The sequence below is a fragment of the Homo sapiens genome, chromosome 9, assembly GCF_000001405.40.
Source record: "Homo sapiens chromosome 9, GRCh38.p14 Primary Assembly".
In the NCBI taxonomy this organism is placed as follows: domain Eukaryota; kingdom Metazoa; phylum Chordata; class Mammalia; order Primates; family Hominidae; genus Homo; species Homo sapiens.
In genome coordinates, this window is record NC_000009.12 from 98,592,937 (window position 1) to 98,609,195 (window position 16,259).

The 16,259-nt window shown below is 48.1% G+C and overlaps 1 protein-coding gene and 1 pseudogene across 1 annotated transcript in view, besides 1 other annotated feature; one reads left to right on the top strand and one right to left on the bottom strand.

The window, feature by feature from the left end:
* Positions 1–16,259, bottom strand: part of GABBR2 (gamma-aminobutyric acid type B receptor subunit 2) — a 420,827-nt gene that overhangs the window by 304,828 nt on the left and 99,740 nt on the right. The gene's annotated exons all lie outside the window — the stretch shown is intronic.
* Positions 10,111–10,405: a silencer, noted in NCBI's record as "tiled region #14650; K562 Repressive non-DNase unmatched - State 22:ReprW". NCBI's record gives its function as "represses a minimal TATA promoter and a strong SV40 promoter by Sharpr-MPRA in K562 cells {active_cell/tissue: K562}" and the evidence as "EXISTENCE:reporter gene assay evidence [ECO:0000049][PMID:27701403]".
* Positions 13,894–15,500, top strand: SEPTIN7P7 (septin 7 pseudogene 7; annotated as a pseudogene).

The window sequence follows — 16,259 nt, forward strand, 5'->3', positions numbered from 1 at the left end:
AGGGAGTTTCCCTTTGTTTTGTTTTACCACTTTATTTTAGTTATTTATTTTTTCTTTTTTGAAGACAGGGTCTCACTCTGTTGCCCAGGCTGGAGTGCAGTGGTACAATCACGGCTCACTGCAGCTTTGACCTCCTTGGCCTCAAGCGAGCCTCCCACCTAGGTCTCCTAAAGCTCTGGGATTACAGGCGTGAGCCACCATGCCTGGCCATTCTAATTATTTTTAAGTGTACAACTCAGTGGCATTAAGTGCACTCACCATGTTGTGTAACCATCACCACTGTCTATTTCCGGAATGTTTTCATTATCCCAAACAGAAAAGCTCTGCACCCATTAAACCCTGGGGCTTCTCAAGAGTGCTTCGACCTGATCATGACATCGCCAGAGCTGAGGACAGGGACGACGACCCTGGCAGCCACTTGAAGGTCGTTATTCAAGTGAGGAAGGGCAGGGCGTGGGGAGGGGTGAGAGACCAGTGCAGTGGTCCAGGGACAATGGCAGGAGCAGGGGGAAGGGGTCAGATCAGAACAAGAGGAAGAGTAGCCTCTAGGAGAGAGGGGAGTCCTAGTTTCCTTCAGGGGCTGTGTGAGTCTGGGCCACCAGGACCCCCTGAGGTAGAGAAGCCAGGAGGGGGTGCTGGGTCCAGGGGACACTGCTGAGTCCAGCACTGGGCACAAGGCTGGTGAGGCACTGGCCAGCTGCCCACGCTACCGACTTTCCCTTGGGAGCCATGTCCCCGAATCTGACAGTCCTTCCTAGCACACGGGCCAGAGCTATCCCGACAGCTCCCCCATGTGCAAACACCCACTGGCCGCCTGCTCACAGATGAAGGGGGGCTGTAGGGTGGGTCCTCACCCCGTCACCGTGGCCACACTCATTCCTCAGGTGCCCATGCTCCCTCTGCAGCGACTCAGCTGGAGTTAATTATGTGCCTCGCTTGTCCTCCAGCTGGGGACATGGTGGTCACTCCCCCACCTGACAGATGAGAGCTGGGCTACTGTCACACATCACTGTGATGAGGGACTCTACTCAAGGGCTCCAATTCTCCAAGCCTGGCATAAGTCCTTCCGCCTCTCTGCATCACAAGCTGCTGCAGGCACCTGTTTTCAGAGGCCCATCCCAGAGGCGATTTCCCCAACACCCCAACATCTCAGGTCTGATCCCACAGGCACAGTGTCGCCCACACTTGGAGGTTGTAAGGGGGTTCTGGGGTCCAGGCTGCACAAGCAGCCTTGGGCACAGCTGTGTTCCCATCTCAACATCCTGCTCCCAGGTCCCAGCTCCTCTACATCTGAAGCCCTAATGCACCTTCCCAGTGTCTAGCCCCAGGACTCATTTCTGGCCCGCCTCCCACCCCGTGGCTGAGAGCCTGCTAAGGGGTCCCCAAGCCCATCACGACACTGCCTGCGCAGGGGGTGACGCCTGGTGCTGCCCCTGGATTCACGGAAGAATGTGAGGCCTCTCCCTGCCTAGGAAAGGGGGCAAAGGGGTTTCAGCTTGGAACCTTGCTAGACGGACAGACCAGCAAACAGATGCCACCAAGTGCTGGGAGGGGAGGGGAAGGGAGGGGCTCTGGGAGAGGAATTTGCTGGAGGGGTGGGGCCCAGGGAAGGTTCCTATGGCTCATTGAGGCAGCAGTTTGGGACCAGTGCATTTAGGAGCATAACCGCCTCTGGGGAAGCCCCTCGGCAGGACCCCTCAACAAGATGGCTGGCAAAATCTGAAGAGCAGCAGCCTTTGGAAGGCCAGAGGGAGGTGCAGACCTGCACAGGGCAGCCCATCCCCAGAGGTGAAAGTCAAAGTCCACATCTGATAGGGGAGCTCACAAGCCTGGTCCTCCCTTTGTATAACAGGGAAGTAATGCTGGGAAGCCCTAACCATGGCACTCGAGGGAGCTGCATGGGGCAGAAGCTCGAGCCCTTTGCTAACCATGAATGCTGAATTTATTCAGTTTGATGTGCTAGGCGTTTACTGAGGATCTCTTTCAGGCTGAGATCTGCCAGGCACTTGGCAAACAGGAGGAAACAGGTCAGAGCCCGGTTCTCAGGGAGCTCACGTGCCAGCGGGGATGAGAGAGGGCACAGTCACCGCAGAGAATGGTGTCTTAGTCTGCTTGGGCTTCTATCACAAAATACCACAAACTGGACAGATTAGAAACAACAGAAACTTATTTCCCACCGTTCTGGAGGCCAGAAAGTTTGAGATCAAGGCGCCAGCAGATTTGGTGTCTAGTGAAGGCTGGTTTCCTGGTTTATGGACAGCGCCTTCTGGCTGGGTCCTCACATGGTGGGAGGGGAGAACAAGCTCCCTTGTACCTCTTTTATAAGGCAGAATCCATTCATGAGGGCTCCACCCTCGTGACCTAATCACCCCCCTTCCCAAAGGCCCTACCTCCTAATACCATCAGTTTGGGGGCTAGGATTTCAACATATGACTCTTGGGGGAAAGGAAACTTTTAGACTGCAGCAGATGGGAGAGCATATGATGAAAGGGGCAGCAGAGAGTGTGGGGCCTAGAGCCGGCCACCAGATGTAGTGCCAGGAATCAGGGAAGCCTTCCTGCAGGGGCGGGGTGCTTGGTACTTGTGCTGAGTCTTGATGCTTAAGGAGAAGTCAGCCACATGGCCAGCCCATTCCTCCCTATTCTTTGAGCTTGGTAGGGAGAGAGAATCCATGCTTTTGTTCTCTGCCAGGTCAGGAAAGCATTTTCCAAATGATACTTTACAAAAAAACAAAAACAAAAAAACTAAAGAGAAATCAAAATGAAACTAAATAATGATATACAAAAGCACAAAATGGCCCCATATCTAGAGGGCCAATTCCTGGATAGACAGGAGGCTGGAGGTTGTATTTATAAGGAAATGAGTTGCGTGAGAGAAGGAGGTTGCCCAGAGTACACAGCAATGGAGATGAGCCAATCTGGGTCTCCTCCCACAGCCATAAGTCCTCTTTCCCCAGCCACAGGTCCCCAAACCCTTAAGAGGGTATATGGCTTCTGCCATGACACCTGTGTCCCATCCCCTTTGCCTGGCCAAGTCCATGCATCTTGCTTTCTTCTGGAAGTCTTTGCCAGGTGAGATGCCCCTTCCATGGGCTGAGCCAGCACCCTCTGTTGGGGAAGGCCCATGGAGACCCTGTCTCCTACATCTCTGTAGCTTAATGGTCAAGGGTCTGGCTTGAGCCAGGTGTCTGACTTCAAGTATCCCACTTACTAGCTGAAGGACCTTGGGCAAACTTTTAGCTTCAGTTTCCTCCCCCATAAACGAGGATGATAATAGTGTTTACATTATGCTGTTATGGTGAAGGTCAGATGAATTCATTCATTCAAAGGGCTGGAAAGAGTGCTGGCACCGGTGAACACTTGGGAGATGTTAGCTGTTCCATGTACTGCCTCAGGACCCCTGCACCTGCACACACTGAGTGCTCCTACCTGTTTGCTGAATTTTCCCAATGGGGGAAATAAAGGCAGTCACAGCACAGCCTTGGGGGTGGGGGCTCTGGCTTATGGGTTCCCTTCTCGGGCTTCACATTTATATAGCTAAGAAGGACCAGGACCACACCTGCCCTCTCTGGTCCCTCCTGAGGAAATGGTAGGGGGATATCCTCAAAGCCCCCCTCCCAATTTTATTCCTATAACAGCCTGGCCCAGCCCAGCCCTGCCATGGAAGGAGCCGGCGATGTGGTCACGACAGGACCATATGGGGACCTGCCCCTTGCTATTTCTCACTATTTTGGGCCAATCTGTTGACATGACAACCAGGCTTTTAGACCCTGCCGCCCAGGGCTCTGTTTCCATCCTTACGCTTGCATTCTGCAAAACACAGCCTCCATTCACCAGCTGCCTCCGCGTTTGGAGGGGCAGAGTCACAGATTCTGCAAGACCCCCTCCCCTTAACAGCTAGAGCAGGCAGCAGGTAAGACCTCCCACCAGCATCCCTACTCCCAATATGCATGGGAATTGGCAGCTCCCCTCCCCAAAGCCTGCAAGCCTTAGGCAAGCACTGAGGGAGGCCAGGCGACTACCTCGAAGCTTTGCATGAAACCCCAGGGCTGACTCGCCTTCCCTAGCAGGAGCTGATAAGGCCCACCCCTATGCTGTGCTCAGTCTCCAGATACTCATATTTTAGGAAATATTAGGTCAACAAGGGATCCCAGGGGTTGTCTGGGCCAAGCACTGCATTGTGAACCCAAGTGGTGCAGCTTATCTGAGATCTGCAGGCCCCCACCCGTCAGCCTAGGATTCAGGCCACCCCACCAAGATTCCATACATGTTGCTCTAAAATAGATGGCAAAAAATGTGTGTGTTCTCCTGCACAACAGAGCATACAGAATTTTATTCTTATGCTGGGAACTTTGTGATCACAAACAACATGCCAGGGACAACATGCCAGGGACAACATGCATGGGCTGAGTGCCCACTAGGGTGGCAATAACAGCAGCCAGAAATAATAATAATGGCACTGAACTCCTGAAGCTTGCTATGTGGCAGGGAAAATCCTGCACACTTCACAAGCATCATCTCATGAAGCTGCATGTCCACAGCAACCCCCATTTTACAGAGTTGGAAACAGAAGCTCAAAGAGTTTACATAACCAACTCCAGGACACACAGACAGCAGGAGGGAAGCTGGGCTTGAGGCCAGCCTGTCTGTGCACTCACCCACAACCTCATGAATCTTGGTGGTTGGAGGGCTCAAGGATGAAGTGGCAGCAAGCATCACTGCCTTCCCAGAATCCCCAGAGCCACCTGGGGTGAGGGCACAGGTAAGGAAATTTCCAGCAATGCACTCAGAGCAATAAGAAAAAATGCTGGGGAGGGGAAGGGTAGATGATTGGGAAGAGCAGGGAAGAGAGTATTCACTTATAAGTAAGCTCTTTTTATTTTATTTATTTTCATTTTTATGGAGACAGAGTCTCACTCTGTCTCCCAGGCTGGAGTGCAGTGGTGCAATCTCGGCTCACTGTAACCTCTGCCTCCCGGGTTCAAGCCAACTCTACTGCCTCAGCCTTCCAAGTAGCTGGGATTTACATGTGTGCACCACCACCTCCGGCTAATTTTTTGTATTTTTAATAGAGATGGGGTTTCACCATGTTGCCCAGGCTGGTCTTGAACTCCTGAGCTCAGGCAATCCACCCGCCTTGGCCTCCCAAAGTGCTAGGATTACAGGTGTGAGCCACTGCGCCCAGCCTACTTATAAGCAAGTTCTAGGAGCTGTGCCCTAAGCTAGGCTCATTCAATGACAACATCCACCTGAAAAATTTCTTTCTTAGAAGAGGCCAGTGACTAGAACTGAGGAGGCCAGAGAGACATCTTGGAGGAGCAGGCTTTTGAAAAGGAAGGACAGGAGCGTCTTCATTTTCCACAGTTCAGGAAGTGCATCACCTACTCTACAGGTAGAAAGTATGAGATTCATACGCCACACCCATTGCATCCTCCACACTCTCTAGAAACAGGGTGAACACAAAACTACACAGGGAGATCTATTGTTAATATCGTGCATAAAGAAGAAAACAAAGGAATTTTGCTAGGAGGCTGGCGGGTGCAGTCAGCTGAAATAAATAAATTAAAATGCGGCATTGTTGTCTCTGTGTACATTTGTTTTAATTACTGTTTACTGAAAAACTAAAACTTCACATAGGAAAGAAGAAGAAAAAAAAAATCCCCAAACGTGCGTAACCAGTGTCTGTACGACAGATCTAACTTGGGGCGGGTGGGGTGGGACTTTCGTCTTCAGCTGTCACAGCAGCACCCAACCAGGGGTGCGCACACAGCAGATCAAGCATCTGGAACGGGCTTCCACATGGCTGGCAGACACTTGGACCTAAAAGCTCATCCAGCGAGCATGAACCTGGCTACCTAGGAGGCGGCATCACACAGCAACCCAGCCTCCAAGCCCACCTACAGGCCACGTGAGATGGGCAGAATTTTCCCTGTTCCATCACAGTACACCACATGTCCTCTATATGGTTTTCACTCTGTCTTTTATTAACAAGCCTCTTATAGACATAAATGGCTCCCCTGCCCCCTACCTCCTTAGCCCTCTGAAGTAGACCTACCTGAAGGCAAGAACCATGCCTGTGCCATCTTTCTTGGGCCTGGCACTGAGCTCAGGCTGACCGGGAGACAAGACGGGCACCCCCAGCTGCTGTATCTGTGGGGAATGGCAGAGAAGGCCTCATTCCTGGGTGGGATCTTTGGTGGCCTTGAAGGTGAGGACTCCAACCTAGGGGCTTCAAACTCAGTTCCTCAGGAGGCCTCTTGAAGAAAGACTGACATGGCATGACCCTACTGGGCAAGGCTCTGAGTCCCCACCACCATTTAACCAGAAGGGTTCCCTTCTGGAGATTTTATATGTGGGCTTCTAGCACATTTTGTTGGAATGGAAGGTTCTGTAGACAAGCAGAACAATGAACACCAGGAGACTAGAGCAGCCCCCTGAGGGCCTTGCCATAGTGGCTGGGCCTCACTCCATCACCTTGGGTCCTCTCAACCTGGGACCTGCAATGGACATACCAGGCCTGTTTAGCAAATGAACAGAGAAAACAAAACAAAACCTCTCAAGAAACCAGGGGAATCTTAAAGTTTCAACACAGGGTGAGGGGCCAGTGTTTTCTCCTGACCTGATGGAGGTTGAATTACACATGACCTTCAATCCCAGGCTGAGGGGGCCACCTCTGTCCTACGGAGCATGTGGCCCCAGGCCCCTCAGACACAGTATGCAGTGGTGCTGACGGGCTCTGAGCAGGGCATGCGGGTATACAGTGACCTGCCCAAGGAGGCTTAGGTGTAAACTCAGGACACAAAACAGACCTGGGGACCCCACCCCGCATGGCACCAGGAGGCTTTGGCCAAGTTGAGAAGAGGGGGACAGCACAGTGTCTGAATTAGAAGGTGAGGTAGGAATGCCAGGGAGAGATGGGGGTGGGTACAAGGCAGTTTGAGGACTGACCAGCCCGGTCTGGCTAAAGCAGGCAGTAGGAGAAATGGGCAGAGCAGGAGCTCCACAGTATTAATAGAAACTGCCTGGATGCAGAGAGTGGGAATGCGAAGAGTCAATTAAGAAAGGGGCAGGCACGCGCTGGCTAATTGCTGAAGCTGGGGGATGGGCTCATGGAGGCAGCTTATCCTACTCTTTCTACTGAGGCATGCATCTGAAATCATCCATCATAAAAAGCTCAAGAAAAAATAAGAAGAACAAGGAAGGGCTGTGCAGCCCCCCAAATCTCCCCTTTTCTCATTTCAATGATTCCAGGCACATCTGCAGGAAATATACAACCAGAGGCCCAAATCACAGCTAAGATGACAGGCATCAGGGCTGCAAAGATGGAACAGCTCCTCCTTCTCTGCTGGGCAGAGCACTTCTTCCCAGGGAGTATTTCTAGCTGACCTCCCCGCTCCAATAGCATCAACCATCATCTGTAGGCTGATGACCCCAAATCCCAACCTCCACCTCCCTGAAGCTCCAGACCACACATCTCCACCTGGGTGACCCACAGGTCCAAACCTGGACTGGCCATCTTCCCCTAAAATGTGGTCAGTGTCCCAGAAGGCAGAATACAGATGTGACTGGGTGAGAGAGGGGCTCTAGATTCTGACTCTGAGAAACCTGCTTTCTCTGCATAAGCCTTCTGCATAGGCATGGTGCTCAGCAAGTGCCCAGTACAAAGAAGGGCTCAGTAAACATCAGCTGTCACCATGACTATTGTTATTTGCATTCATGTTAGTATCAACGTTCACCTCTGCAGGTTCCCCAAGGCAGAAAACTGGGAGCCGTCCAAGACTCCATCGTTGCGTGGCCCCTCACACCTAGCCAGTCTCAAGTCCCGTACGTTCTACTCACTGAGTATCCACGGAACCGTGCCAGCCTCTGCACCGCACCGCCACATGCGTGTGTCTGGCCTCACTGTGGCAGGTGACTCTGCTTCCAGGCCTGCTACCTCCCCTCTGCTGGTCACCTCCCTTCAGAGTGATCTCCCTAAAATGAAAAGCTTATCATGTCCCTCACTGATCAAAAGGCTTTCATGGCCCTCTGGTCCCCCGGTGAGCACCCTATTACTGTGCTTTCCAAGGCTCAGCTCACATGTCACTTTCTGCTCCAAATCCTCCCTGATCCCAGTAAACAGGACTGACCACTTCCACCCTGTGCCCCACTGACCTCATACAAACTTCTACAACAATAACAGTGCTGCTCAGACTGTCATAAAACACACAATTTCCAAACAAAACAAAACGTATCAGAATACCAATGTAGATTGTCAAATTTTATTTTCTCAAGTAAAGACATTAAAAAACAAAACATGGGCTGGGTGCAGTGGTTCACACCTGTAATCCCAACACTTCGGGAGGCCAAAAAGGGAAGATCATTTGAGGCCAGGAGTTTGGGACCAGCCTGGGCAACACAGCAAGACCTCATCTCTACAGAAAAATTTGAAATTAGCCGTGCATGGCGGTGCACATCTGTAGTCCCAGCTACTTGGGAGGCTAAGGCGGGAGGATCACTTGAGCCTATGAGTTGGAGCCTGCAGTAAGCTATGAAAATGCCACTGCACTCCAACCTGGAGGATGAAGCGAGACCCTGTCTCTTAAAAAAAGAAAATAATAAATGAAATAAATAAATCAATAAACAAATCCTAATGTCTGCTATCACCACAATTTAATTTTTTAAAGGACATAAGAAGGAAGGAGGAGGAGGGAAGGGAAGGCACCATCTCAAAGTGAAGGGTGTTCTTTAAAACAACAAAGTCAGCTCTGTTAAAAACTTACCCTTATTTTCCTCAGGGCACCATGGTCTCTTGAAGCTCTGTTAAGGCCAGTATGGGCCAAGGGCTGGTCATTGTGAATGTTTCCTGGTTTGTTCCCATCTCCCACTGGAAGCTGTGAGTGACTTTCAGGTGGGCACTGCCAGGCTGAGCCTGGAGATGCAAGTGTGGGGTAGTGGATGTCAAGCCCCAGCTGCCTGCGATTGCCAAAGTCAAGTACAGCACAAACAATGTGACCACAGGGAAGACCCTTAGCTGAGTTGCTGAGTTGGTTTTAGAAAGATTTTACTTGAACGGCTCTTTATTTTTTCATTGTTATTTTTTTGAGACAGAGTCTTGCTCTGTCACACAGGCCGGAGTGCAGTGGTGTGATGACAGCTCACTGCAGCCTCACCCTCCCGGGCTCAAGCAATCCTCCCTCCTCAGCCTCCTGAGTAGCTGGGACCACAGGCTTGCACCACCATGCCTGGTTAATTTTTTTTTTTTTTAATTGTTGGTGGCCGGGTGCGGTGGCTCACGCTTGTAATCCCAGCACTTTGGGAGGCCGAGGCAGATGGATCATGAGGTCAGGAGTTTGAGACCAGCCTGGCCAACACAGTGAAACTCCGTCTCTACTAAAAATACGAAAATCAGCTGGGCGTGGTGGCAGGCACCCGTAATCCCAGCTACTTGGAAGGCTGAGGCAGGAGAATCGCTTGAACCCGGGAGGCAGAGGGTGCAGTGAGCCGAGATCGCACCACTGGGTGACAGAGCTAGACTCTGTCTCAAAAAAAAAAAAAAATGGTAAATGTCTCATTATATTGCTTAGGCTGGTCTTGAACTCCTGAGCTCAAATGATCCTCCCTCCTAGACCTCCCAAAGTGCTGGGATTACAGGCGCGAGCCACTGCACCCAGCCTACAACTCCTCATTTTAATATCGCTCAGGAAGCACACCCTGCAATAACGATGATCATAATAATCCTAAAACAAACCTGCCCAAGCACTAGGGAACAATTTGAAATTGTTAATTGATTCAGTGGGAGGGGAGAAAACTGGAGGAAAGAGAGTGCAAGTTCTCACGGAGATGCTCGGTTTCTTTTTTTAGCAAACTACCTTGTGCCTGTCACAGTCTTCCCTGAAACACCCAAACATTCACTGGATTCCACAACGTGGGGCCATAGTCTGTACTGGAGAGTCCAGTATGCTACAGGCAGGAGCAGACATGGCCTGGGTTCAGCTGTGTGGCCTTAGGCAAGTCACTTTGCTTCTCTGGGCCTTCCAATCCTATCTATAAAGTGTAGTGATTCCTTATCTAGCTGTAGGGAGGGCCGGCAGACACAGGAAAACACAGGCTCTGGAAACACGAGGACTTGGCCACCCCCAAGGGACTACTGCTGGTATTCTTGTTGTTGCTAAGAAGACTGAATGCTCAGCAAATTTGGACTAAGAGAGAAATGGGTTTCATGTCAATAAATACCCCCACTCTCTCTGCCCCGTCTCCTACAGAGCACCTCATTTCATTTGCCAAGGCATTCCCTGTTTCAGAAAGATAAACAAGATCCCCAAAGGCTGGAAATCATTCTTCCAGCAACTTCCTCATTGTCCTGTTACAACTAAGATCTGGGTGGACATTCTCAGGCAAAGGATTTGGTCTGGAACTTTTCCACTGTGTTTCCTCAATGGCCAAGGTTCATTCATGCTAGAGAGAGGAGGAATTTAATATCGCTAATTACTTTTTAGGGAGCAGTTTCATCCTGGAAATTTTGAAATTGATTTCTTATCCAGTTTCCCCTTGGTTGATATTATTCTCTCAAGATCCTTACTGAACCTTCCAACAACACTTCTTTTATTCTCCTTCATGCTCCAGCTCTACGTTTGCTTTTTTTGTCCTCCCTCAAGGGCAAGGATCACCTCTCTGATTTTTGCCTCCCACCCTGGGCCTGGCACACAAGTCAGGCTCCACCAGTGCACTAGAGAAACAAAGACACAAAGATGTGATTTTCCCAAAGCATGCTTTCTGCAACTGCAGCTCAGAAATCTCAAACGGTTCAAGATAAGAAACTGGCCCAAAGCTGATTAATTTTGCAAAACAGACCTTCCAGGGTAGCACACAAGATCTTCAGAAAGAATATTCTGGTTCTTACTTCCCACTGAGAGCTTCAGGGACCATAATTAGAGCAGCATGGAGCAACAGACTCCGCTCTGGTTCACTAAACCCCAAGAACCTTCCTACCAACATGGACAAAAATAACGTCCCGTTCCATCTGAAAATATCACCTAGAATTCAGATGTGTGCTCTCTCATTGTGTTCTGTGCATTTTTAAGTAGCTCTGTTTGGCTGGGTTTTGACAGCTGGAAGCTGAGGCTTGGAGACCCGCCCGGGCACAGGGTGGTGCTTTTCAAAGATGCAGACCACTGCGTCAGAACCACCTGGGGGCTTGGTAAAATGCCGCTTCCCAAGCGCTATTCCAGACCTACCAAACCGGAATCTCTAGGGCTGCTCCATTTTTAATACACATCCCTGATGATCCGGGTACACACTAAAGTTTGAGACGCCAGCTCATTTTCCTGCCAAGGAGCTTTGCTTATTCCCCCACCCAACCTCCCACACACATCCATTTCATCGGCTTTATTGAGCAACAGTTTCTGCAGGACAGGACATCCATGCAGCTCTATGGAGTCACAGACTGCAGGTTCACCGAAGTTCTCAGTGTCTTGGTCTCTGCTCCAACATCGCCCTCACCCTTCCTAAAATAGCCACCAGCCATCCTTTGGGCTCCGAATGTTTGCTTTTGTTCCAGAAGATTGTGTTGTCATGCTTTTCCCTTCTACCCACAACATGTAGAAGGCTGGGCAGAGTAGGGCCTCAGAAATTGCTTACTGATTGACCAACACCTGCATAAATTGGAACACTCACTGGAAGATTGGTCCTTACATATGCATTTGTTTTTAATGCTGGCTGGATGCTCATACTAATAGAGACAACAATGGTAATCATAAGAATCATAATGCTGGTGAGAAAGATCTTTATATAAGGCCCTTTCTAGGTTACAAAGATATGTCACACATTTTCCCCTTGATAGTCATCTGTAACACTCAAAACAAACATTATCACACCCACTTTACTAATGGCAAACTGAGGCTCGGAGAGATTAAGTGGCTTTCCTGAGGACTCACAACTAGTTGTTTGCGGGGCTGGTACTCCAATCTAGACCCCTCATCTCCCAGGAGTCAATCATTCTTTCCCTGATCCAGTAAATAATGACTGAGCCCTCATGATATGCCATTCACCACACCAGAGCTAAGGACCAAGAGCCAAGGCTGACGTGGTCCCTGCCCTCCTGGTCTCCCACCCACATCACCCCTAATGACATGGAAGCTGCCATCAGCCAGGAGACAAGATACGTACATGGCAAGGCCAAAAGGCAGAACAAGTCAGGGTGTGCCCATGAGACGAAACCAGGGCAGCAATGCCCCTCTCCTTCTGTTGAGGCCTCCACAGGGATGTACAGTGCAACAGCGGAGTAGCCATCCCCAGGTCAGGTTTCCAACTGCACCTGCCCTGCCAGTCTCAGGTGCTGTGAGCCCCAGAGCTTGGAGGCAACAAGGGGAGCACAGCTCTCAGCATGAACACGGGGATTTTCAGAAAGGGTGGAGCAAGGTGGCCTTGGTATAAGCTGCCATTCCCCAGGACGGTACTGCAGATCTGCAGTGGGCCACTCGCCACCCTGAGGCTAAGCTTGCATCTGTATCTCAGGCTACGGACTCTCACCTGCCTTACAGAGCTACTGTATGCCCACATGAACGTGATGGGGAAACCCACAAGCCCAGCTTGAGGTCGGCAATCACCGTGATTCCTCAGGGGCCCACTTCCTTTTCTTAATGGATCTTCTAAGGGTCTAGGGACTGCTGCTGCCATTTGGGGCTATGGCAAGGAGTGCCTCTAGGATACCCTGCACATTCACATCTTTCTTTAACTGAGGCTTCAAACTGCGTGACATAAGCAGACTAGTCATGAGACTCCAGCACATCACTTAACCTCGTAGCATCCCATTTCTTCACCTGTAATTCGGGATAATGGAACTGTTCTCCTCGAGTTCATGTGAGGATTTTTTTTATTATACTTTAAATTCTAGGGTACATGTGCACAACGTGGTCTGTTACATATGTATACATGTGCCATGTTGGTGTGCTGCACCCGTTAACTCGTCATTTACGTTAGGTATATCTCCTAATGCTATCCCTCCCCCGTCCCTCCACCCCACTACAGGCCCCGGTGTGTGATGTTCCCCTTCCTGTGTCCAAGCATTCTCATTGTTCAATTCCCACCTATGAGTGAGAACATGCGGTGTTTGGTTTTTTGTCCTTGCTATAGTTTGCTGAGAATGATAGCTTCCAGCTTCATCCATGTCCCTACCAAAGACATGAATTCATCCTTTTTGCGGCTGCATAGTATTCCATGGTGTATATGTGCCACATTTTCTTAATCCAGTGTATCATTGAGGGACATTTGGGTTGGTTCCAAGTCTTTGCTATTGTGAATAGTGCCGCAGTAAACATACGTGTGCGTGTGTCTTTATAGCAGCATGATTTATAATCCTTTGGGTATATACCCAGTAATGGGATGGCTGGGTCAAATGGTATTTCTAGTTCTAGATCCCTGAGGAATCGCCACACTGTCTTCCACAATGGCTGAACTAGTTTACAGTCCCACCTCATGTGAGGATTTAAAGGGTAAATACATACAAACTGCTTGTAATAATGCCTGGCACATCAGAAGCACTGTGGTGTCTATTATCTTTTTTTTTTCTTTTTTTTTTTTTTTGAGATGGAGTCTCACTCTGTTGCTCAGGCTGGACTGCAATGGCACAGTCTTGGCTCACCGCAACCTCCACCTCCCAGGTTCAAGCGATTCTCCTGCCTCAGCCTCCCGAGTAGCTGGGATTACAGGCATGTGCCAACATGCCCGGTCGATTTTGTATTTTTAGTAGAGACAGGATTTCTCCATGTTGGTCAGGCTGGTCTCAAACTCCTGACCTCAAGTGATCCGCCCGCCTCGGCCCCCCAAAGTGCTGGGATTACAGGCATGAGCCACCGTGCCTGACCTATTATCATTTTTTTATGATAACTTTCCTTTTTTAAAAAAAAAGTACAAACAGTGCGAGAGCCACTGCTGCTGAGGAGAGAAGCGTCCACAGCAGCACCATGGGAGGTCTGATTGATCCACATGAATTCCTAGGCATTCAGACCTAAGAATCATCTTCTTCCTGCTTGCCCGCGGCTCCGCCTGCATCCAAACCGCTGCTCGCCCCATGTCGCTCGGTAGCTCAACAGAAGACCCCTGAAGGCTATGTGGGATTTGCCAATCTCCCAAACCAAGTATACAGAAAATCAGTTAAGAGATCTGGTTTTGATTCACGCTATGGTAGTGGGTGGAACAATCCAAAGTTTTAATCAAAGAAGGTGGTGTTCAGTTGCTGCTCACAATAGTTGATACCCCAGGATTTGGAGATGCAGTGGATAATAGTAATTGCTGGCAGCCTTACAATCGACTACATTGATAATAAACTTGAGGACTACGTAAATGCAGAATCGCATGTGAACGGACGTCAGATGCCTGATAACGGTGTAGCGTTGTTTATACTTCATTGCTCCTTCAGGACATGGACTTAAACCATTGAATATTGAGTTTATGAAGCGTTTGCATGAAACAGTATCATCTCACTTATTGCCACAGAAGACACACTCACACCAGAGGAATGCTAACAGTTTAAAAAACAGATAATGAAAGAAACCCAAGAACATAAAATTAAAATATATGAATTTCTAGAAACATAATAAAGAAGAAAATAAACTTGTTAAAAAGATAAAGGACCATTTACCTGTTGGTGTGGTAGGTAGTAATACTATCATCAAAGTTAATGGCAAAATGATCAGAGGAAAGCAGCATCCTTGGGGTATTGCTGAAGTTGAAAATGGTGAACACTGTGATTTTACAATTCTAAGAAATATGTTGATAAGAACACACATGCAGGACTTGAAAGAGGTTACTAATAATGTCCACTATGAGAACTACAGAAGCAGAAAACTGGCAGCTGTGACTTATAATGGAATTGATAACAACAAGAATAAAGGGCAGCTGACCAAGAGCCCTCCGGCACAAATGGAAGAAGAAAGAAGGGAGCATGTAGCTAAAATGAAGAAGATGGAGCTGGAGATGGAGCAGGTGTTTGAGATGAAGGTCAAAGAAAAAGTTCAAAACTGAAGAACTCTGAAGCTGAGCTCCAGCGGCACCATGAGCAAATGAAAAGGAATTTGGAAGCACAGCATAAACAATTAGAGGAAAAACGTCATCAGTTAGAGGATGAGAAAGCAAACTGGGAAGCTCAACAACGTATTTTAGAACAACGAACTCTTCGAGAACCTTGGAAAAGAACAAGAAGAAAGGAAGATCTTTTAAACTCTCTATTGACCACCAGTTACGTATTAGTTGCCAATATGCCAGCTTGGACATCAGTGTTTGTTGGATCCGTTTGACCAATTTGAGCCAGTTTTATCTATAATGATGGATTTAAGAGCATGACACACATTATTTTTGTTGTTGTTGTTCTTGATGGAGATTAAGATGCCGTCAATTGTCTAGGGTGTTGTGTACTTAGAAAGTAACAGCTCTACTTTTCCTACTTTTTCTTTTTCTTTTTTTATTAAACAGATTATCTTCAGTTGAATGCAAGATAACATTTTACTGTTGTATAATCATGTTCTGACGGTTTGATTGTTTACAAGATATTCCAAAATAAAAGGACTCTGGAAGGTTTTCATTGAGGATAAAAGGCCATAATATGATGCAAACTATGCTTCTCTATGATAATTATAATACAAAGGTTCCATTCAATGCAGTATATACAATAATGTAATTTAGTCTAACACAGTTGACCCTATGTTTTGACACTTCCATTGTTTAAAAATACACATGGAAAAAAAACCCTATATGCTTACAGTGCACCTAGAGCTTTTTTATAACAACTTCTTTTTGTTTGTTTTGGATTCTTTAAATATATATTATTCTCATTTAGTGCACTCTTTAGCCAGAATCTCATTACTACTTCATTTTTGTAATAACATTTAATTTAGATAGTGTTCACATATTGGCCCTGCTGAAATAGAATATAGCATCTTTCATATGGTAGGAACCAACAAGGAAACTTTCTTTAACTCCTTTTTACACTTTATGGTAAGTAGCAGGGGGAAAATGCATTTATAGATCATTTCTAGGCAAAATTGTGAAGCTAATGACCAACCTGTTTCTACCTATATGCAGTCTCTTAATTTTACTAGAAATGGGAATCACGGCCTCTTGAAGAGAAAAAAGTCACCATTCTGCATTTAGCTGTAATCATATATTGCATTTCTGTATTTTTTGTTTGTATTGTAAAAAATTCACATAATAAACGATGTTGTGATATAAAAAAATGTACAAACAACATGCATCAGTGGAGAATCTCTGCAATTGACATAGAAT